At 46.0% G+C, this 22,299-nt stretch overlaps 1 protein-coding gene across 68 annotated transcripts in view, besides 9 other annotated features; it reads right to left on the bottom strand.

The window, feature by feature from the left end:
• Nucleotides 1–22,299, bottom strand: part of ZNF875 (zinc finger protein 875) — a 51,619-nt gene that overhangs the window by 25,054 nt on the left and 4,266 nt on the right. For 19 of the 68 annotated variants that reach the window (NR_138121.2, NR_138116.2, NR_138130.2 and 16 more), the window contains exons 1-2: nt 4,620–4,753; nt 4,145–4,233 (exon numbers count right to left, since the gene is read on the bottom strand). Coding sequence is in view for 22 of the 68 variants with exons in the window: in NM_001329762.2 (NP_001316691.1) it covers nt 4,145–4,177 (33 nt within the window). In the remaining 46 variants the exon portion in view is untranslated. Of the gene's footprint in view, nt 1–4,144; nt 4,779–9,829; nt 10,231–10,337; nt 10,824–14,127; nt 14,607–15,136; nt 15,195–15,831; nt 15,870–16,922; nt 16,965–17,169; nt 17,218–21,215; nt 21,521–22,299 lie in introns of those variants that run through there. The other 49 variants (NR_138120.2, NR_138126.2, NR_138124.2 and 46 more) reach the window with 20 other exon arrangements.
• Nucleotides 3,862–4,803: an enhancer, noted in NCBI's record as "H3K27ac-H3K4me1 hESC enhancer chr19:37825501-37826442 (GRCh37/hg19 assembly coordinates)". NCBI's record gives its function as "activates a minimal SCP1, AML or CMV promoter by ChIP-STARR-seq in naive H9 embryonic stem cells {active_cell/tissue: H9 hESC(naive)}" and the evidence as "EXISTENCE:reporter gene assay evidence [ECO:0000049][PMID:30033119]".
• Nucleotides 4,589–4,688: an enhancer, noted in NCBI's record as "active region_14543". NCBI's record gives its function as "activates an Ori minimal core promoter by ATAC-STARR-seq in GM12878 lymphoblastoid cells {active_cell/tissue: GM12878}" and the evidence as "EXISTENCE:reporter gene assay evidence [ECO:0000049][PMID:35858748]".
• Nucleotides 4,804–5,746: an enhancer, noted in NCBI's record as "H3K27ac-H3K4me1 hESC enhancer chr19:37824558-37825500 (GRCh37/hg19 assembly coordinates)". NCBI's record gives its function as "activates a minimal SCP1, AML or CMV promoter by ChIP-STARR-seq in naive H9 embryonic stem cells {active_cell/tissue: H9 hESC(naive)}" and the evidence as "EXISTENCE:reporter gene assay evidence [ECO:0000049][PMID:30033119]".
• Nucleotides 4,899–5,008: an enhancer, noted in NCBI's record as "active region_14542". NCBI's record gives its function as "activates an Ori minimal core promoter by ATAC-STARR-seq in GM12878 lymphoblastoid cells {active_cell/tissue: GM12878}" and the evidence as "EXISTENCE:reporter gene assay evidence [ECO:0000049][PMID:35858748]".
• Nucleotides 17,890–18,538: an enhancer, noted in NCBI's record as "OCT4-NANOG-H3K27ac hESC enhancer chr19:37811766-37812414 (GRCh37/hg19 assembly coordinates)". NCBI's record gives its function as "activates a minimal SCP1, AML or CMV promoter by ChIP-STARR-seq in naive and primed H9 embryonic stem cells {active_cell/tissue: H9 hESC(naive and primed)}" and the evidence as "EXISTENCE:reporter gene assay evidence [ECO:0000049][PMID:30033119]".
• Nucleotides 18,539–19,187: an enhancer, noted in NCBI's record as "OCT4-NANOG-H3K27ac hESC enhancer chr19:37811117-37811765 (GRCh37/hg19 assembly coordinates)". NCBI's record gives its function as "activates a minimal SCP1, AML or CMV promoter by ChIP-STARR-seq in primed H9 embryonic stem cells {active_cell/tissue: H9 hESC(primed)}" and the evidence as "EXISTENCE:reporter gene assay evidence [ECO:0000049][PMID:30033119]".
• Nucleotides 20,260–21,157: an enhancer, noted in NCBI's record as "H3K27ac hESC enhancer chr19:37809147-37810044 (GRCh37/hg19 assembly coordinates)". NCBI's record gives its function as "activates a minimal SCP1, AML or CMV promoter by ChIP-STARR-seq in naive H9 embryonic stem cells {active_cell/tissue: H9 hESC(naive)}" and the evidence as "EXISTENCE:reporter gene assay evidence [ECO:0000049][PMID:30033119]".
• Nucleotides 21,269–21,478: an enhancer, noted in NCBI's record as "active region_14541". NCBI's record gives its function as "activates an Ori minimal core promoter by ATAC-STARR-seq in GM12878 lymphoblastoid cells {active_cell/tissue: GM12878}" and the evidence as "EXISTENCE:reporter gene assay evidence [ECO:0000049][PMID:35858748]".
• Nucleotides 21,659–21,758: a silencer, noted in NCBI's record as "silent region_10554". NCBI's record gives its function as "represses an Ori minimal core promoter by ATAC-STARR-seq in GM12878 lymphoblastoid cells {active_cell/tissue: GM12878}" and the evidence as "EXISTENCE:reporter gene assay evidence [ECO:0000049][PMID:35858748]".

Here is a 22,299-nt window from a genome sequence, read left to right as displayed (position 1 = left end):
AACAGTTAAACATTGGAAACAGGAGTCCAAAAATTGGGAAACAATGGATGAGTTCATCCATTCAATGGATTACTATGGAAATTATTTTCAGTGGGATAAGTGTTGGCTGTTTCTACACCTTTAAAAATAGAGCTGGGTAGATACACTGCCAGTAACTTTACTCCATTATGATTTTACCATTAGGGCCTGTCAAAATATGTTTGCAGGGGTGTGAGCGCATATAAAATTAAATTAAATCCAAATGAGAAAGGAATCCTAAAATAAAATGGAAGACTCCTGAGTGTGCAGACTGTGTTTTACCCATCATTAACTGTAATCTACTGAGTGTTCTGCACATAGCAGACACTCAAGTTTGTTGTATGGCACCAAGGAAAAGGAAAAATGCTAAGAAAAAAAATAACATAATGTGCCTGCCAGTTCATCTCATTGTTACAAATTTAACACAAATTTTAATTTATCCTCTCAGGCAAAGGTCCTTGGCAGTAATACCTAATGTCCTAAGATAGTCTTGCTTTGATTATTTTGTATAATTCAGATGCCATGCATATCAAGAGTATCTGGAAATTCTACCCAACGCTCCTGAAACATGTGATTAACCACATGCCCAAAATAACAAACCAAAGCAAACAACAGAAACTCCTTTGTTACTTAGTTCCTTCAAATCGTTTACTTAAGGTTGTGATTCCTTCATGCACCAAACATTTCATGTGTGCTAGGCATGAGAGACACAGAGGTTTCATCTTAAACAACTATTTAAATGCTCATGCCCTTTAATTTTTCCTGAGTAAATACTATGTTAAAAAGCTACATTGAAGAACAAGTTGTTTATATACAGGAGGCAGTTCCGGGTAGACCTACTGAGAATGAAGGAGGTGGCACAGGAAAAGTCAGCTACCACAAACTTCTGACTTTTCCCAGCCAATCAGAAAGAATGCTTCCCTGGTAACACTGGGAGTGGTGAAGAAAGTACACACAAAAAGGCTGGGTGCAGTGGCTCACACCTGTAATCCCAGCACTTTGGGAGGCAGAGGTGGGTGGAACACCTGAGGTCAGGAGTTTGAAACCAGCCTGGCCAACATGGCGAAACCCCATCTCTACTAAAAACATAAAAATTAGCCGGGCGTGGTGGCATGCACCTGTAATCCCAGCTACTCGGGAGGCTGAGGCAGGAGAATCGCTTGAACCCAGGAGGCGGAGACTGCAGTAAGCCAAGATCGTGCCACTGCACTGCAGCCTGGGTGACAGAGCATGACTCCGCCTCAAAGAAAAGAGAAAGTACGCACAAAAAATATTCAATGTTACCTTGGGAAATGTCCTGAATTGGATTTCTTATGTATTCCTGGTATTAACACTCTCAAATGAATTAACTATTTTAGAAATGAGAAACAGAATTCTCAGTGTTGCTCTGATAACATCCAGGAATGCATAATCCCCACCACTGGAGTCCAGAATTAAGAAATCTCTTTTCCTGTCTAAATTCCACTCAGATTTCTTGATAAGGATAGTCAAGGCAAATCTGAAATAACCAAGTTAACCCATATCAAAAATGACTGTTAAACAGCCTGGCAACTGTGTTGGTGCTTAATGAATGTTAATTGCATTCAATTAAGTCAGGGGCATCATCGTCACCAATCTCAGGGCTTAGAAAAGCTTCCCCTCGGCCGGGGGCTGTGGCTCACACCTGTAATCCCAGCACTTTAGGAGGCCGAGGCAGGCGGACCACCAGGTCAGGAGTTCAAGACCAGCCTGGCAAACATGGTGAAATCCCGTCTCTACTAAAGATACAAAAGATTAGCTGGGCCTGGTGGCGCCACCTGTAATCCCAGCTACTCGGGAGGCTGGGACAGGAGAATCGTTTGAACCTGGGAGGCAGAGGGTGCAGTGAGCTGAGATCGCACCAGCCCGGAAGACAGACCGAGAATCCGTTTCAAAAAAAAGAAGAACGCTTCCCCTTAAGTCCTTATACACAGTCAATCACTATTTCCCACATACCATTGACTTCCTTATGTCAAGTCCCTTCTTAACATCCTTCAAAACTCAGCTTACTCAAAGACAAAGTCTACCCTGCTCAGCCTGGCACTCAGCATTTTCTGATTTGTCCCCACCCTGACCGAGAGGTGGAAAAGGCAAACCCTTCAGGGGTCAGGTAGGTAATAAAAATGAGAGGGGGGTGAAATGTTAGGTAGTCAATGGTTTCAACCTCAGTATAAAGGACACTGCAGAAAGTGCAGCTGATACTCTGAAGGTCACGTCCAAATGATAAAGACGTTGTTCAGCTCAAATTGTCTGACACCAAAGAACAGTGCAGATTTAGGGCAGATTTATTTTCAGAGAAGCAGGGAATCTGGAATTTTGGAAATGTCCCAATTGCCAGAAGCTGAAAGTGCTCTCAAATGTAAAATTCAGGTCAGACTATATCGAAATTCTCCTTGTTCTATGTGTGAATAGATAGTCTGTATCTTAACATATGTATATTTATTTATTTATTTATTTTGAGATGGAGTCTCACTCTGTTGCCCGGGCTGGAGTGCAGTGGTGCGATCTCAGCTCACTGCAACCCCCGCTTCCCAGGTTCAAGCGATTCTCCTGCCTCAGCCTCCCGAGTAGCTGGGACTACAGGCGCTTGCCACCATGCCCAGCTAATTTCTTGTATTTTTAGTAGAGACAGGGTTTCACCGTGTCAGCCAGGATGGTCTCCATCTCCTGACCTCGTGATTCGCCTGCCTCAGCCTCCCACAGTGCTGGGATTACAGGCCTGAGCCACCACGCCTGGCCAAGGTTGATTTTTAAATATGCATAGGTAGCCGGGTGTGGTGTAATCTCACTTGTAATCCCAGCACTTTGGGAGGCCGAGGTGGGTGGATCATGAGGTCAGGAGATCGAGACCATCCTGGCTGACACGGTGAAACCCCGTCTCTACTAAAAATACAAAAAATTAGCCTGGCATGGTGGCAAGCGCCTGTAGTCCCAGCTACTCAGGAGGCTGAGGCAGAAGAATGGTGTGAACCTGGGAGGCAGAGTCTGCAGCGAGCCGAGATGGCGCCACTGCACTCCAGCCTGGATGACAGAGTGAGACTCGGTCTCAAAAAAAAAAAAAAAAAAAATTCAATCTTAAGCAAGTCCACTGGCCACCATAATCCTTCCACACTGAGAGTCCAGCCTCTGAAACTATCTATGCTTCCTTGCCGCCTCCCACTGGAATGCCTTCCCCCCAATCTCCAACTTAACAAACCAGTCAGGGGCAATTGAGACAGCCCTACTTCTAGGAGGCCTCCCTAACCATTTGAAATCACAGGCATCTGTGCTGTCCCTGCCCTTCATCCACATCACTGAACAATTACGCATGTATGTCTCTTTACTTTTATTTAAACTGCTCCATATGTGTTGTTCACAATTAACTACTTCATGAGTGACTGCGGTAAGGATGGAGCAGAAAGGAATGCTGAGGGAAGACTCCTGTTAGAACGAGGCACTCTTCCAGGACTAGGAATGAACTCAAAGGTAAAATTCAGGTCAGACTATGTTTGGAGCCGAAAAGACCAAAGGGATTGTGACCAACTCAGCATTCCACTGGAGGTTATATGATTAAACGGTAAACTGTTTATCATGAATGCAGGATGTGAGCAAACGCACACTGCCACCAAAAGATGTGCTGAGAGCCATCACTGCCTGGCGCCTGGCTCCTTGAAGTGATCTACCAGGAAATCTAGCGCCTATTGTTGGAAGGATGCAGTCTTGCAATTGCGAACCAAACGGCCAACTGACAATTACCTGACAATCACCACCCCCTAACTTGTTATCTGTTTTACCAATAAATACGGGAGGGTTGTGTAAAGCTCAGGGCCCTTGTCCACTAGAGACAAAGTGCCCCCGACCCCTTCTTCCAAATATACTTTTTTGTTTCTTGTCTTTTATTCCTTTTGTTCAGTCCACCAGGTCCGTGCAGGTTACAAGTGGCGCCCTGAACAGCGACAGAATCGGACGCTCTACAAGACTATATCAAAATCCTCCTTGTTCTATGGACTAGGAATGACTAGGGCTAGGAATGACTTTGCCCAATACCAACAAGGCAGCCTCCAGGACAAGAAAAGGTAATGGGACCCATTCTGTTGACAGCCAAGATAGAATTACAGTTAATTCTCACCTCTTTTTTGGCTCTCAGGAGCCCTGTGGCCATTTTCCTGGTCTCCTGAGTGCTCTTCCTGGAGAAGGGCAAAGTCTCAGAAGACAGATCTGGGGATGTGAAGAGAAATAAGAGTGGCCTAGGTGGAAACACCCTCCCCACGAAGTGAAGCGCAGTCCGCTCCAGAGCCCCACAGTTGGGGTCTGGGATGTCACAGAAATCACCAGAGCAGCCAATTCCCATCCAGTGGGGGGCCAGGATGACCCAGCCACCCTCAAGCTCAGCCGCAAGCTCGGGACAGGGAGTGAAGCCCTTGTCCCCAAGCAACGGAGTGAGGGTTTATCTCTAACCCTGTGGGCTCGAATGAAAGGAAAATGGCCTGGAGGTGCCCAAAGGAGAGCGCCCTAGTTCTGAGATAGCTCTGCGGCTCCCAGCCGGCGTCCCCGTAACACAGGGACACGCAGAGGGGCATGCTGACTGCCTATAGGGCACTCACGGAACGCGGGTGCACGCTGCGGATCCTGAAGCCGAAAGTCAGGTAACAAGGTGCAGAGGTGTGGGAAAGACCTTAAGAGGGAGGCCTTCCCGGGTCCCAACCAGCTTAACGCGCCTGGGCCACCGACCGGAAGTGTTTCTGACGTCAACGCTACACACTGAAGGGTAGGGAGGGGAGCGGAAGTGACCGCAGAGGCCTCTGGGGATTGTAGTTTCGGAGCTACAGAGGCGGAGAAGTCGGCTTTGCCCACCACACAGGGTGACTGACATCTGCACAGCGCACACAACCAAGTTTACGAACCCACTCTTAAGATGCCCAAGTGACGTTGACAAGTTTCTCTGTAAACCAATGAGATCTGCTGACCGCGAAGGCATCGCGGGACTGCCGAAGGATTCTGCAAAATGTGGTCCCGGTGCTCTGCGGGTGGCCAGTGTGCGCTGACCTTCAAGGTGCGGGTGAGCTGAGCTCACTACGCAAGTCTCCGCCCTGATGCGCCCTTCCCTGAGCAGGTGCCAGGTCGGGACAGACGCGGCTCAGGGAGAGACGATGCTCTGCGGGAACCACCAGTTTGGAGGCGACACCGGCCCTTTGTCCCCTAGAGTAGGAGGGTGTACCAGGACAGGGAACCCCAAGGCTATTTTCGCGGAGAGCAGGATTGGTTTGGGGCAAACTCCCGGAATGCAGATGGGGGAGACTGGTCGCGTGTCCCTAGGATTTTAGGGGATGCAGACTGAACTTGGGGTGAACAGCAAAAGATCCCCTGGTGGTGGTGGGGATCCGAAGCTTGATCAGGAAATTCCCGAGGTTTTTATTGGAGGCTGGGGTACAGGTGCGGCTTGGAGGAAACTTCCGGAGGGTGGGGTGGAGGTGGGGCGGTGTTGGAAAGGAGGCATAAGTCTGACCGTTTTGTTCAACAGGGGTGTTTTCTTTTTGCATTGATTTTATTTTTAAAGATATTACATTAAAATATTGTTTATCTTGATTACTGAGTTTTTTTGGTGACCCTTTAAATTCTGTATCCACAGTCCCCAGCATTTACAGAAGTGAGGGCCTGGCTTCTAGGGCATCAAGCAGCCAGAAAGTCCCTTAGGACAATTGTTGAATTGTCAGTGAGTCATCTTTTCCTTTCCTGACTTCCTTAATATCCACAATTTCCTCGTAACCATCCCTCCAAAGCCACACCCACAAGGCACCTCCAAGACCTATCATGAAGCAGATATTCAAAGATTATTTGTAAATCTTCACACCCTACCCCCTCCAGAATGTCTTCCAACATCCCTTTGCCTGGAGAAGTAAAAAACAAGGTTTGCATGTTGGGTATCAGCCTCTCCCATTGAGAGGGTGTTTAGGAAGGAGGATCAGCCGAGAGCCCTATTCCAGCCCAGGTAAATGACCCGGCCAAAGATTTAATATCTATAAATGTAGAATGCTTGTCACAGAACTCAGTGGGAACCACAGTCAGGCATGGGGCTGGGATTTAAGAAGCACAAATGAAAAGCAGGGACTAGAAAACTTAAGAAAGATATGGTAGGGGTGGGGGTGGGGGTACAGTGAGGATGTGGGATCCTGAGATAATCCAAATCACTATGTTTAGATGTAGGTGTACAAAGGGAGTAAAGAGAGACCCAGGCTGATGGGGTATTTGTAATAAATCAAACATAATGTAACAGCAGGTCAAGTAATAAGGGGACTCTCAAGTGATAAGGATCAAGTGATAAACAGTGAAAGGGGCAGAATGAAACTCTACAGAAATTAACAAACATCAACAAGACATCTAGGAAAGCATTTACAGCTGCATTCATTTAAATGAAAGGTGATAGTTACTCAGTGCTGTGTGCCAAGTACAATGATACACTCTCACCTGAGTTACCCTTGTAAATCTGAACCACTTGTCATTATCTGTGCTTTAAGGAGTCCTATTTTCCACACTCTTAACTGGCTTGAGATGTGAAAATCCATCTAAATTATAAACGCAGTGGGGAAGAAAAAATCTAGTCATGCCCATCAAGGGAACATGTCTAGTTAAAATTAGCATAGATAAAAATCAGCAAAAAACAAAAAAGCAAATTGAAAAAATATTCTTTGAAATTAAAAGCCATACAAACCACTGTGTCACTGATGAGTTAAAGAAGAAACTGGCCTGCAAACCAGAAAATACACTGGAAGAAGCAATAGTTAAAATACTTCAGATCTAAACCTGTAGAATGAGGCTACCTCAGTTCCAAATATATCAGCTTAAAAGTAGTGGCAAAAAGAGCAAGAAGTTGGCCAGGCATGGTGGCTCACGCCTGTAATCCCAGCACTTTGGGAGGCCAAGGTGGGCAGATCACCTGAGGTCGGGAGTTCGAGACCAGCCTGGCCAACATTGCGAAACCCCATCTCTATTAAAAATACAAAAATTAGCTGGGCGTGTAGGGGTGGGTTGCCCCTACACACCTGTGGGTGTTTCTCGTAAGGTGGGACGAGAGATTTGGAAAAGAAAAAGACACAGAGACAAAGTATAGAGAAAGAAATAAGGGGACCCGGGGAACCAGCGTTCAGCATATGGAGGATCCCGCCAGCCTCTGAGTTCCCTTAGTATTTATTGATCATCTGTGGGTGTTTCTCGAAGAGGCGGATGTGTCAGGGTCACAAGACAATTGTGGGGAGAGGGTCAGCAGACAAACACGTGAACAAAGGTCTTTGCATCATAGACAATGTAAAGGATTAAGTGCTGTGCTTTTAGATATGCATACACATAAACATCTCAATGCTTTACAAAGCAGTATTGCTGCCCGCAGGTCCCACCTCCAGCCCTAAGGCGGTTTTTCCCTATCTCAGTAGATGGAGCATACAATCGGGTTTTATACCGAGACATTCCATTGCCCAGGGACGGGCAGGAGACAGATGCCTTCCTCTTGTCTCAACTGCAAGAGGCATTCCTTCCTCTTTTACTAATCCTCCTCAGCACAGACCCTTTACGGGTGTCGGGCTGGGGGTGTCGGGCTGGGGGACGGTCAGGTCTTTCCCTTCCCACGAGGCCATCTTTCAGACTATCACATGGGGAGAAACCTTGGACAATACCTGGCTTTCCTAGGCAGAGGTCCCTGCGGCCTTCTGCAGTTTTTGTGTCCCTGGGTACTTGAGATTAGGGAGTGGTGATGACTCTTAAGGAGCATGCTGCCTTCAAGCATCTGTTTAACAAAGCACATCTTGCACCGCCCTTAATCCATTTAACTCTGAGTTGACACAGCACATGTTTCAGAGAGCACGGGGTTGGGGGTAAGGTTATAGATTAACAGAATCTCAAGGCAGAAGAATTTTTCTTAGTACATAACAAAATGGAGTCTCCTATGTCTACTTCTTTCTACACAGACACAGTAACAATCTGATCTCTCTTGCTTTTCCCCACATGGGCGTGGTGGCCACTGCCTGTAATCCAGCTACTTGGGAGGGTGAGGCAGGAGAATCACTTGAACCCAGGAGGCAGAAGTTGCAGTGAGCCAAGATTGTGCCATTGCACTCCAGCCTTGGCAACAAGAGCGAGACTCTCAAAAAAAAAAAAAAAAAAAGCAAGGAGTTATTAGCTCTATACACTTTTTTTTTTTTTTTTTTTTGAGACAGAGTCTCACTCTGTCGCCCAGGCTGGAGTGCAGTGGTGCCATCTCGGCTCACTGCAAGCTCCGCCTCCCAGGTTCACGCCATTCTCCTGTCTCAGCCTCCCGAGTAGCTGGGACTACAGGCGCCTGCCACCTCGCCTGGCTAATTTTTTTGTATTTTTAGTAGAGATCGGGTTTCACCATGTTAGCCAGGATGGTCTCGATCTCCTGACCTCGTGATCCACCCGCCTCAGCCTCCCAAACGCTGGGATTACAGGCGTGAGCCACCACGCCCAGCCAAGCTCTATATACATTTATAGAAGAAACTTCTAATTTGAAAAACTCAAAGTTTTAAGTAACAATGATCACAAAAGGGGAAGAACAAACTTCCAGAATCTTGGGGACAGAGGGTGGTGTGGTGGGAAGAGAGGGAATTACTCTGTCACCAATGAGTCAAAAAAGTTATTAAAGATTAATTTTAAATGAATAAAACTAAAAACCAAGACTTACAGAATGAGACTAAAACCATGGCTGGAGGAAAACTTTTAGCCTGAAAGTAGCCTATGACTTAGAAATTAAGGCAGAAAACTAAGGAGTAAGCAGTTACCCTTCAGGTTAGAAAACCAACAGAATAACAGGAAATGAGAGAGGGAGGAAATAATCAGATGGGGCTGAGATGGGGGCTTATGGGGATGAAGGAGGCAGGAAGAGCACATTAAGTCTGTGCATAAAGTCACTCCCTAAGGACAGTCCCTGAGAGGAAAGTGGGTGCACAAGGATCAGGCTAGGTGTAAAAGGTGACAGGCAACCCTGGAGGGTACATTCAAGGGTTGACAGTGGCTAAGAAAACAGGAGGGAAAGTCAAGTGTTGAGCCTTTCCTGTCCCTAGCATGGAAGACATCAGGAGCTGATGAGTGAAAGTGATAAACACCATTCTCATCACCAAAAAAAGTCAAGTATTTGAGGTAATGGATAGGATAATTTGACTTAAACATTCCACACTGTATGGAAAAATCATAACATCATTTTGTACCCCATAAATATATACAATTTAAAAGATAGGTAAAAATCAGAAAAAAATTGAAAAAATATTCTTTATTTTTCAAACATATATAATTTATGGAGTACAATCTAATTCATCAATGTATATGATTTTTTTTAATGGTAAGTCAATAAACACAGCAAACAGTCCCTTGAGAGGCAGAGAAGGAAAATGGGCACAATCTGCCCTTAGAAAGACACAGCATTTAAATCCACGCATGTGAGAACTCCAGGATTCAAGACTAGGGGTCAAAACACAACCTGGTTTATCACCTATAGCCACAGGATGGCACCAACACCCACTGCTCCAGCCTGAGCTGGCCAGAGAGAGAGAGCATCCAGGAAAAGCTGGAACCTCCCAGAAGGCCTGAGACCTGCAGGTACCACACTGTAGTCCACTGAAGAGGAGGGCCCAATGTGAGGGGGAAAAAACCACTGAGGAAACATAATATTTGTGTATTTTTAATAAGATATTTAATACGTGTTCAGGTAGAAGTAGGTACAATGACAGAAAATAAGGTAGAGGAATGTGCTAGACACCACAGATACGTAATGATGGACAATAAATGACATGATGTGGAGAGTTCACCCACACATGCAGACTTCTTATGTTCACATAAACATTTATCTGCATGCATCACCCAGTAGAGACAAACTGCACTTACACTGTGAAGTCAACGAGGAGATAAAGTAAAAATCAAATACTTATGGAGAGAGTCAGTCTCTCCATTTAGTGGGAAACCCTTCAGAACACGCACACAGCATCTCCCCTCCCTTCTGAATACCATCCATAGCCTGCAGCAGTAGATGGCAAATCACAGCCTGGGCCACCCTTCCCAGAATGTCAAAAACATGGACATGCAGACCACAGAATTCACCAGATACCCAAGCTGGGTGGTGCGAGGCTCTGAAAGACATGCTTCAAATAAGAGGGACTAGAAAACTCCGCAAGGGAGCAACAGGGATCAGGGATTCCAGGAGGATCCAGGGGCCTGTGCGAAGAGCAAGCAGTGAGCAGATGTGTGTGTCAGTGATTCGGTGGCATGAACTCAACACCATCTAATACAGCAGCTCACGTTTCTTTGTGCATCAGACTCACCTGGGGACTTGTTAAACACAGATTGTTGGGTCTCACTCCTAGAGTTTCTTCTTCAGTATTCTGGGGAGCAGCCTGTGAATCTGTATTTCCAGCATGATTTTCAGGTGCTACTGATACTATTGGTCCAAGGACCACACTATGATCTAATTTAACATCAGATTAGGGGAGGAACTAAGGAGCAAAGAAGCAACAGAATGGACCTGAACCCTGTACGGGCTTCTCTGTAAACTCCTCAAACATAAAAGCCTTCGAGACACTCAAAGAGCATTTACAGCATCATGTCTACAAATACAAGGCACCACGCAGGGAGTGCTCCATCAAGTAGAGAGAAGAGCTCACTGAGTGTCCCTGTCTTAGTCTGTTTGTGTTGCTATAACAGAATACCACAGACTGGGTGATTTATAAGGGTTCACTTGGTTTATGGTTCTGAACACTGGGAAAGTGAGGGGCCTGCATCTGGTGAAGGTCTCGCTGTGTTGTCCTATGCTGGAAGGTAAAAGGGCAAGAGAGTGACCACATGTGAGAGGGAGAAGGGGAAAGACAGAAAGGGAGGAAGCCAACCTCATCCTTTTATCAGGAACCCCCTCCCAAGATAACTAACCCACCCTACCTTCATCCATTCATGAGGGCAGAGCCTTCATGACCTAATCACCTCTTAAAGGTTCCACTGATCAACACTGTTGCATTAGGGGTTGAGTTTCCAACACATGAACTTTGGGGAACACATTCAAACCACAGCAGTCCTCATGTAAACCTTCCAGAAAATCTGTGTGCCTGGCACTCTGGAATCCCTCTTTTCCACCCTTTCTCTTTTTTTCTTTTTTTGAGACAGAGTTTTGCTTTTGTTAACCAGGCTGGAGTGCAATGGTGCGATCTTGGCTTACTGCAGGCTCCACCTCCCAGTTCAAGTGATTCTCCTGTCTCAGTCTCCCAAATAGCTGGGGTTACACGCATGCACCACCACACCCAGCTAATTTGTATTTTTAGTAAAGATGGGGTTTCTCCGTGTTGGTCAGGCTGGTCTTGAACTCCTGACCTCAGGTGATCCGCCCGCCTTGGCCTCCCAAAGTGCTGAGATTACAGGCATGAGCCACCGCACCTGGTCTTTCCGCCCCTTCTCACTGCAACTCTAACATTGTGTTCCCTCATCATTTTCCATTCGAGCACAGGAAAGAACACAATCACTACACCCATTTCTTATGAACCTTTCTGACATTAAAATAATTCTATCACTCACATAGAAATTTGTAAAAATAAATTTTCATTTTTGATACGAGCGAGTATGATTTTTTTTTTTTTTTTTTGAGGAGTTTTGCTCTGTGGGCCAGGCTGGAGTGAAGTGGCAAGATCACGGCTCACTGCAACCTCTGCCTCCGGGTTCAAGCGATTCTCCTGCCTCAGCCTCCCAAGTAGCTGGGATTACAGGCCTGCACCACTACACGAATAATTTTGTATTTTTAGTAGAGACGGGGTTTTGCCATGTTGGCCAGGATGGTCTCAAACCCCTGACCTCAGGTGATCTGCCCGCCTCGGCCTCCCAAAGTGCTGGGAAAACAGGTATGAGCCACTATGCCTGCCCCTGAATATGAAATTCCGTATTAGTTTAATGAAATCTCTAAAATATATAGAAAATAAAAATAATTACCAAAAATGTTCAATGATGCAAAGCAACACACAGTGAGATATTACATCCTAAAACATATAGACCTGTCATTTAAAAATCAAGTAGAAACATAAGGGGCTCTATACACACCTTTTGAAATAAGTTTCCTGGCCAGGGAAAATGGCTCATGCCTGTAATACCAGCATTTTGGGAGGCCGAGGTGGGCGGATCACCTGAGGTCAGGAGTTCAAAACCAGCCTGGCCAACATGGTGAAACTCTGTCTCTACTAAAAATACAAAAATTAGCTGGGCATGGTGGTGGGCACCTGTAATCCCAGCTACTCGAGAGGCTGAGGCAGGGAGAACTGCTTGGACCCAGGAGGCAGAGGTTGCAGGGATCCGAGACCTGCCATTGTACTCCAGCCTGGGAGACAGAGCAAGACTTCATCTCGAAAAAAAAAAAATTATAATAATAAAATAAAATAAGCTGTCTAGGTTGTGCATGGTGGCCCACCCTTGTAATCCCAGCACTTTGGGAGGCTGAGGCGGGCAGATCACTTGAGGTCAAGAGTTCAAGACCAGGCTAGCCAAAATGGCAAAACTCTGGCTCTACTAAAAAGACAAAAATTAGCCAGGCATGGTGGTGCACATCTGTAATCCCGGGTACTCGGGAGGCTGAGGCAGGAGAATCACTTGAATCTGGAAGGCAGAGTTTGTAGTGAGATGAGATCACGCCACTGCACTCCAGTCTGGGCGACAGAGCGAGACTACAACTCAAAAAAAAAAAAAAAAAAAAAGCTTTCTAATTTAACTTTAGAATTTGAAATTCTTTCAAGAAAGAGGTACTCAAAAAACATGAAAAGTATGTGAGTCACTAATGTATCAAAGAAAACAATCATTCTTGTATTGCAAATAAATACCCAACCAAGACAAAAAGGCACGTCACATGTTATGGGAAAAGACTGAAATGAGGGTGAGAGGAAAACTGTGACCCTTGAATGTAAGACAGAAAAAAATCAGGCAGGATGTTAAGGAATTGGAAATAATTCTCCATATTAAAGGATTACAAGAGACAGGAAGAGAGGAGGGACACGATAGTCACAGACTGCAGGGGTGTGGGGTAGATGGGAATAAAGGAGGCAGAGAGAGCAGTGGGGATGTACATAAAATCACCCTCCAGAGCTGTGCTGTCCAATAAGGCAGGCACTTGCCACATGTGGCTGCTGAGCACTTGAAAGATGGCTAGTCCAACCTGAGAAATGCTGTAAGTGGAAAACACATTTTAAAAAAATTCTGAATACTCAGTATAAAAGAAAGAATGGGCCAGTGTGGTGGCTCACATCTGTAATCCCAGCACTTTGGAAGGCCAAGACAGGAGGACTGCTTGAGCCAGGAATTTGAGACCGGTCTGGGCAACATAGCAAGACCTCATCTCTTCAGAAAAAAAAAATCAGGCCAAGTGCAGTGGCTCACGCGTGTAATCCCAGCACTTTGGGAGGCCAAGGTGGGTGGATCACTTGAGCTCTGGAGTTCAAGACCAGCCTGGACAACATGCTGAAACCCTGTCTTAACAAAAAAATACAAAAATTATTCAGGCGTGGTGGCACATGTTTGTGGTCCCAGCTACTTGGGAGGCTGAGGTGGGAGGATCATTTCGGCCCCAGATATCGAGGCTGCAGTGAGTCAAGATTGTGCTACTGCACTCCAGCCCGGCTGACAGAGTGAGACCCAGCCTTTAAAAAAAAAAAATTAGCATGGCATGGTGGTGTGTGCCTGTAGTCCAAACTACCTGGAAGGCTGAGGTAGGAGGATCTCTTGAGCCCAGGAGTTTGAGACTGCAGTGAGCTATGCTGGTGCCACTGCATTCCAGCCTGGGCAACAAAGCAAGACCCTGTCTCAAAAAAAAAAAAAGTAAATGATTTCATTAATAATTTTTATTTTGATAAGATGTTGAAGTGATATTTTGGATAATGCTAACATTTTAGGTGAAATAAAACATTAATTTCACCTGTTTCTTTTTAACTTTTCTAAAGTGACTACTAGAAAATCTAAAATGACGTATGTGTCTGGCATTGTATTTCTATTGGAAAGCACTGCTCTGGAGAGAAATGGTCTCTAGGGAGGCAGAAACATGAGAACCACAATAGAGGTGGATGGAGGGAAGCGACAGACACATCTGGTGGGTACCTTCGGGTGCTGACAGCGGGAACCCAGGAGATTCGGGTGTGGACGGGCCCCCATCTATGCACAGCAGGAGAGTAGCATGGCTGACACTAGGGGTGCTGAGCTGACATACAGAACTATTCAGCTTTATAAAAATGTGAAAAACATACCGCTAAGTCACTGACATTCCACAGAACAAATCATAATAGAAATGAAAAAACAGCCGGGCACAGTGGCTCAGGCCTGTAATCCCAGCACTTTGAGAGGCTGAGGTGGGCAGATCACGAGGTCAGGAGATCCAGACCATCCTGGCCAACACGGTGAAACCCCGTTTCTACTAAAAACACAAAAACAAAATTAACCAGGTGTGGTAGCATGAGCCTGTAGTCCCAACTACTCCAGGGGCTGAGGTGGGAGAATGGTGTGAACCCGGAAGGCAGAGCTTGCAGTGAGCAGAGATCGCCATACTACACTCCAGCCTGGGCAACAGAGCGAGACTCTGTCTAAAAAAAAAAAAAAGAGAGAGAGGTTCAATCTTGATGGAAAATATAAAACACTTCTTCATGAACATTAAAGAAAATTCTAACAACCAAAACGTTTGGAATTAGGGTAACTGAAATGGCAGTTTAATCCTCCTGAAGGAATTTTAATTTCTCACTAACAGTACTTTAATGTTAGGGGTAGAATATTATTTTTTATAGCGTTTCACAAGCATTAAAGCTAAAAATCCAAAATCAGGTTTTTCTCTGACAGGAACTCCTCCTCAAAACAGAAGAAGCCTATAAGACTTTAACCTGGAAACTACTCAGGGAATCTGGAATATTCCTTCCAGGGATATCTGCAGTTGAAACCTGGCAGTAATTTTAAAAAAACCAGACAACTCTTGGGGTATGGTTGGAGCCTGAGGTCTACAGATGGGTCATTTTATATGCTGAGGTCTGAACAAGATGATTTTAACCCCTTAAAATGATGGAAACAAAATAAAACAGAATAAATTAGAAGACAACACAGGTGAGTGGTTTAAAGGGCCTACTTGCTGTGTTTCCTCTGGTCTTCAGGTCTCCTCCCTGCGGCGGGTTCCAGGCGCAGCTCTAGACCAAGAAATGGGAGGATTTTAGAGTGACTGGTGATTTCTCTATCATCTGCAGTTAGTAAACGTTCTCCGCAGTTTATGCAAAAAGTAACAAAACCACTGCAGATGACAAACACTAGGTAACACACATACTATCTCCCAAATACCTACCCACAAGCTCAACAATTTTAAACTGTTAGGATCATTGGCTCTAATCACCATGACATGAGGTCACCACCAAACCATCAAGCGCTAAACAGACAGAATGTTTCCACTCCTGATCCACTGTGTGGAGAAGCACAGAGCTTACCCACTGGGGCCCTGCATCAGAAGAGATGCACATGCACCGGGGTGTGCATTTGAACGGAGCGATCAAACCACCGTCCCCACAGCTCCTCTGTTCATGGGCACTTCAGTTTGTGGCCTCATGTCCTTTGGGGGACACAGTGGGAAGGTAACCCACATGCCAGTGACATCATCAAGAAAGAGACACTGTGGCACTTTCCCCTGATTTCTCAGGGGCCTTTTCTCTTTTCCGTTTGGGTTACATGTAGACTTCCCTACTGTCCACCTGACCACTCTCGTGCAGCCCAAAACCATAGCTTAAGTCATCAGCTAGGCCTTTCTTGGTGTAACTATTGAAAGGTGAGCCTTACCTGTTCAATCTCTAGAGAGACTTGTTCCAAATCTGGACCTAGAAGAATAAATAAACAAGATTTGCCTGAGTAGGTTTGGCTTCTTCCTTCTTGGGGAAAGCCCTTAAGAAATATCAGCCCCTTGGCCAGGTGCCCACCTGTAATCCCAGCACTCTGGGAGGCCTAGGCGGGCGGATCACCTGAGGTCAGGAGTTCGAGACCAGCCTGGCCAACACGATGAAACCCCGTCTCCACTAAAAATATTAAAAAATTAGCCAGGCGTGGTGGTGGGCACCTGTAATCCCAGCTACTCTGGAGGCTGAGGCAAGAGAATTGCTTGAACCCAGGAGACGGAGGTTGCAGTGAGCCAACACGGTGCCACAGAACTCCAGCCTGGGAAACAGAGTGAGACTCTGTTTCAAAAAAAAAAAGGAAATATCAGACCGTTTGCCCAACAACTCCTTGTGACCCTCCTTTAGGAACACAGTGAAAATCCCCCCGGCTCCACACACTATAACGCAGGACAGACCCACAGAGAACAAGACCCAAGAGAACCCACCATAATACAAACTCAGGGCGGGGTTTCCACCATCAAATGTTCAAGCTTGCAGTGGGTGGGGGAGGGTAGTGGGTCCTGAGCTCCAGATTTTCGTGGAGGTGGGAGGTGGGCATTAGGCTTTGGACACATGTAGGCCCAAATTACATCTGTGCAAACTCACACACAATGAAGATTACACCAGATCGGGTGAGATGGTTTAGAAATGGCAGAAAGCAGAGGAAGAGGCTGAAAATATGGGCTTCCCTGTAAACTGTGAGGACAGTAAATGCCAGCAACACCCCAGGAAGTGTTTACAGCTGCATTTCTTCAATTAACAGGGCAAAGTTAGAGCAGCAACAACCAGACAAGGGCCAGGCACTTCCCCTGGGGCAACTGATGTAAACCTGGAAATCAGCCACCCTGGGTGTCACCATTTCATGATGAATCAAATATACAGAGTAGTTCACTGATGGGTTCAGCATCAGAAAGCTAATAAATAAAGCCAGAGTCCCAGGCATATACTGAATGCTCATTGACTGAAAATCAATCACTGGATAAGCGCAAAGAAACTCACTTTCCACATCCCTTACGGTATTCTCTCTGGTGGGTATTTGCTCTGTAAATTACATACAACGGAAGAAAAAGAAGAAAATGAAAACTCAGGAAAGTAAACACACTTCTAAATTCATGAATAGTAAAATATGAAAATATCCCTGAGAATCTATGAGAATATCCAAAGAAAATGCAAAATGGGAGCGTAAAAAGGCCATTTGGCAAAGCCTACAAAATGAGTCCAAAATATGGTTCACAAGGAAACTTACCTTCCAATGCATCCAAAACAGAAGAACAGCAAAAGAAGCTCCTGATTCCTATTGAGGTGAGAATATCAGCACAAACAGAAGGAAATCAGACCAAAAAAAAAGTTACAGGCCAATTTAAATGAGAAACTCCTGCCCTGACCAATAAACCACAGCAAACACTATGCATTTCAAACACTGGGGGACGTGGGTGGGGGTTAGCCTGTTCTGTGCAGGACCGTTCTAACATACGGGAGAGTCTTTGACCCCTCCTCAGAATAATGCCATATACTACCAAAAACACAATTCACAGAATTTCAAAGGAGACCAATTACTTAGAAATGCAGCTATCAGGATGCTTTAATTTTTTCTGACATATTAATAGGCATGTTGCTGTGGTAGTTTTAAAAAATGGCTCAACATTTCTTGCCACTCCTCCCTTTGAGAGGCAGAATCGATGTCCTCTCTCCCCGATCCTGGGTGGATTTGCTGTGCTACCTCATAAAAGATCACTCAGCATCTGACCTGGAGCCCTGTGCCTCCTAAGAATTCTGACTACCCTGAGGCTGCCAGGTGAAAGGGATGGCCTGCCCCTCCACACCTGAGGGTGTTTCTTGTCGGGTGGGACGGGAAACTGAGAAAAGAAAGAGACACAGAGACAAAGTATAGAGAAAGAAAAGTGGGCCCAGGGGACTGGCGCTCAGCATACAGAGGACCCATGCTGGCACTGGTCTCTGAGTTCCCTCAGTATTTATTGATCATTATCTCTACCATCTCAGAGAGGGGGATGTGGCAGGACAATAGGGTAATAGTGGGGAGAGGGTCAGCAGGAAAACATGTGAATATCTCTGTGTCATAAACAAGGTTAAGAAAAAGGTGCTGTGCTTTGATGTGCACATACATAAAAATCTTGGTGCATTAAAGAGCAGTTAATCGGGTTTTACACAGAGACATTCCATTGCCCAGGGACGAGCAGGAGACAGATGCCTTCCTCTTATCTGAAGTGCAGAGGCCCTCCTCTTTTACTAATCCTCCTCACCACGGACCCTTTACAGGTGTCGGGCTGGGGGAACGTCAGGTCTTTTCCTTCCCACGGGGCCATATTCCAGACCATCACAAGGGGAGAAACCTTGGACAATACCTGGCTTTCCTAGGCAGAGATCCCTGCGGCCTTACACAGTGTTTTGTGTCTCTGGGTACTTGAGATTAGGGAGTGGTGATGACTTTTAACAAGCATGCTGCCTTCAAGCATTTGTTTAACAAAGCACATCCTGCATAGCCCTAAATCCATTAAACCTTGAGCCAACAGAGTACGTTTCTGTGAGCACAGGGTTGGGGGTAGGGTTACAGATTAACAGCATCTCAAGGCAGAATAATTTTTCTTAGTACAGAACAAAATGGAGTCTCTTATGTCTACTTCTTTCTACACAAACACAGTAACAGTCTGATCCCTCTTTCTTTTCCCCACACCAGGCTGTAAGGAAGTCAAGGCCATATGGAAACACTACATGTAGGGACTCAGTCCCAGCTGAGCCCCCTCTTCCAACATCCCAAGCCAGGTATCAGATGTGAAGGAACAAGCCTCCAGATGGTTCCAGACCCCAGCTGTTGAGTCTTCTGTGCTGAGGCCAGACATCACGGAACAGAGACAAGTGGGCTACCCTTGTGCCATGTCTGAAATCCTGACTATAAGCATGAGAATCCACAAACATAATAAAATGATGGTTTGAGCTACTAAATTTTGGTGTAATTCCTGACATAGTAATAGTGTCTGTAACAGCCACTTTAACACATTAAGTAACAATAGCAAGTAGCACATCATCACTGGGAACTGTTATTTGGAATTGTCATTGGGAAGCAGTGACAACCATGAAGGCTATTTGGAGATGCTGTCAGATGACATAAAAACTGCTGTGGTCTGACTGCTAATAATGCCCCATACCCAAGGGCTCTACAGCCTGTATTCAAGATGGAAGGAAACACTATATTTTGGCTAGAGGTATGTGAAAATTTCATTCATGGGCCCTTCTCATGGGCCCTAAACTTGGCTGATGGAACTGCAGGTAATAAACTCAGAGTTATGGCCGGGTGCGGTGGTTTACACTTGTAATCCCAGCACTTTGGGAGGCCGAGGCGGGTGGATTACGAAGTCAGGAGATCGAGACCACGGTGAAACCCCATCTCTACTGAAAATACAAAAAATTAGCTGGGCGTGGTGGCGGGTGCCTGTAGTCCCAGCTACTGGGAGAGGCTGAGGCAGGAGAATGGCGTGACCCCAGGAGGCGGAGCTTGCAGTGAGCTGAGATCACACCACTACACTCCAGCCTGGGTGACAGAGCGAGACTCCGTCTCAAAAAAACATAAATAAATAAAATAAACTCTGAGTTAGAGGGAGTCAAAGGAATCAAGGCTGCTCATGAAAGAGCTGAGGTTACCAACTCAAGTGTAGACAAGAGAAGAGAGAGAGGAAAAAAATGGTTGTTCAGCAGGGAGGTCAGAGGGATAGCCGGTCTTAGTTTCCAGACATCCAGGAAAAGGACACCCATCTGAGTAACGGATTGAGGGTCAGTATTAAGATATGGAGAAATATCAAGGAGAAACATTAGTGGCTAATGCTGGACATTTCCACAGCTCTCACATAACCACAAAAACATAGCTTAATTTTAGTAACAATGTCAGAAGCAGAGGGGAGCTGAGAATCAAGAATAAGGCCTATGAACAATGTGGGGGCTATTTTATAAAGCACCAAATCTTCACACTTCATGAAGATAGAGACCTGCCGCCTATAGGTGTCTCATTCACACTATGAAATAAATACTACAAAAGTCAGAGATCCACCAATTAACATTTTAAAGGATTTAGGAGATAGTGTCATTACCATTTTTATTATATATATATATATATATATATATGCCGGCTGCAGTGGAGCACACCTGTAATCCCAGCACTTTGGGAGGCCCAGGCGGGCGGATCACCCAAGCTCGGGAGTTCGAAACCAGCTTGACCAACATGAAGAAACCCAATCTCTACTAAAAATACAAAATTAGCCAGGCATGATGGTGCATGCCTATAATCCCAGCTACTCATGAGGCTGAGGCAGGAGAATAGCTTGAACCCGTGAGGCGGAGGTTGCAGTGAGCCAAGATCACACCATTGCACTCCAGCCTGGGCAACAAGAGCGAAACTCCGTCTCAAAAAAAAAAAAAAATCTAAACCAGCATTATAGTTCATAAAGGAAATCCCAAAACCTCCTTAACTGGTTGTTTCTTTCACAAAAGTTACTCTACATACGTGCCCCAAAAATTAGATTTCAAAGACATTGGGGAAAATACTACTACTAAGATATCAAAACCAGGAACTTACTTCCTTTAAAACAATTCCAAACTAACTCGCTGTGCCTTTCACAGAAATTTTCCACAAGAAATATGATTTTATAAGCTGGGCGCGGTGGCTCACACCTGTAATCCCTGCACTTTGGGAGGCAGAGGCGGGAGGATCACGAGGTCAGGAGATAGAGACCATCCTGACTAACACAGTGAAACCCCGTCTCTACTACAAATACAAAAAATTAGCGGGACGTGGTGGCGGGCGCCTGTAGTCCCAGCTACTCGGGAGGCTGAGGCAGGAGAATGGCGTGAACCCAGGAGACAGAGCTTGCAGTGACTCGAGATCACGCCACTGCACTCCAGCCTGGGCGACAGAGCGAGACTCTGTCTCAAAAAAAAAAAAAAAGAAAACAAATATGATTTCATAAAGCCTGAGAAGTTGCTGCTGTTAGGACAACCACCAAAACTAAAAATTGGTTTGATTAGCAACAACAACAAAATGCCATTTTAACTGGCTGTCCTTATCAGAGACAGTCCACTAAATAATACAACTGGCAAAAAGTGAGATTTTTTTTAAAGGTTGGGGTGCTTTATTATAAACATAATATAAACTAGTAATGTATTTTATTTAATAAACTTCAACCTACTGATCACTCCCTCCCTTCGAGGCGTTCTGCAACAAAACACCTGCCTAGAAATAAAAGGGCATTTTACCCGAGTGGGCTGAAAAAGTCCCGTTTTTACCTTTAATCTTGAGACAATACGTGTCAGAGGTCAGGAAACTACATCACAGTCAGTGCGGGCGCCCACGAGTCCGGTGGACGGATGGGGAAGGGCCGGGACGCAGCCAGTCCTAGTTCCCGCCGTGGCGATGGCCGATTTCCCAGCCGCGGACGCTGAAGGCCAGGACTCCACGCTGCTGACCCTCCAGCGTCCCACGTCCGGTGGGCGCTTGGCCGAACAGCCCAAGACTGCGGAATCACACTGGCCACTGTGCACTCGGACGCCATCTGCAGACCCAGCCTGTGCCGGGCTTCCGGAAACGGGAGGGCGGGCTTCCGGAAACGGCGACCAATGGGAAACGCGATCAGATGTTAGTAGGCGGACAGTCTGTTTCCAGGCAACACAAAAGGAAGGGACGCTCTCGGTTAGCCTCAAATAGACGGAGCTTTCAGTCAATGGATGTGCAGGTTCGCTCCACATTAGCCAATAAGAAGCGCTTGGGCCTGACCCGCCTACATGCGCAGCAAAAACTTTCTTGCGCATTTCAGCGCTGGAACGTCTACCCGCTGCGCCAAACCAAAACTTTGCAGTAATAGTTGATGCTGTTTCCTGCACTTTGGTGGAGATTTGCACCAGGCGCTGGAGACCGTCCCACCTGGCCAATGCCCACCTCCCGGTGAACACAGAGACCCAACTTTGTGCACCGCCAGTCTTGTTATCAAAAAACAGGCTAGTGCCAGGCGCGGTGGCTCAAGCTTGTAATCCCAACACTTTGGGAGGCGGATGCGGGCGGATCACGAGGTCAGGAGATCGAGACCACGGTGAAACCCCGTCTCTACTGAAAATACAAAAAATTAGCCGGGCGTGGTGGCGGGCGCCTGTAGTCCCAGCTACTCGGAGAGGCTGAGGCAGGAGAATGGCGTGAACCCGGGAGGAGGAGCTTGCAGTGAGCAGAGATCGCGCCAATGCACTCCAGCCTGAGCGACAGAGCGAGACTCCGTCTCAAAAAAAAAAAAAAAAAAAAAAAACCAGGTTAGTAAATTATAAAAAATAAAATAAAGGAAATGTAGCCGGGCGTGGTGGCGTGCGCCTGTAATCCCATCTA

This window comes from Homo sapiens, chromosome 19 (assembly GCF_000001405.40).
Source record: "Homo sapiens chromosome 19, GRCh38.p14 Primary Assembly".
NCBI classification, from domain to species: Eukaryota; Metazoa; Chordata; class Mammalia; order Primates; family Hominidae; genus Homo; species Homo sapiens.
The sequence above is the reverse complement of the archived record's forward strand: the minus strand, read 5'-3'. Positions and strand labels throughout refer to the sequence as shown.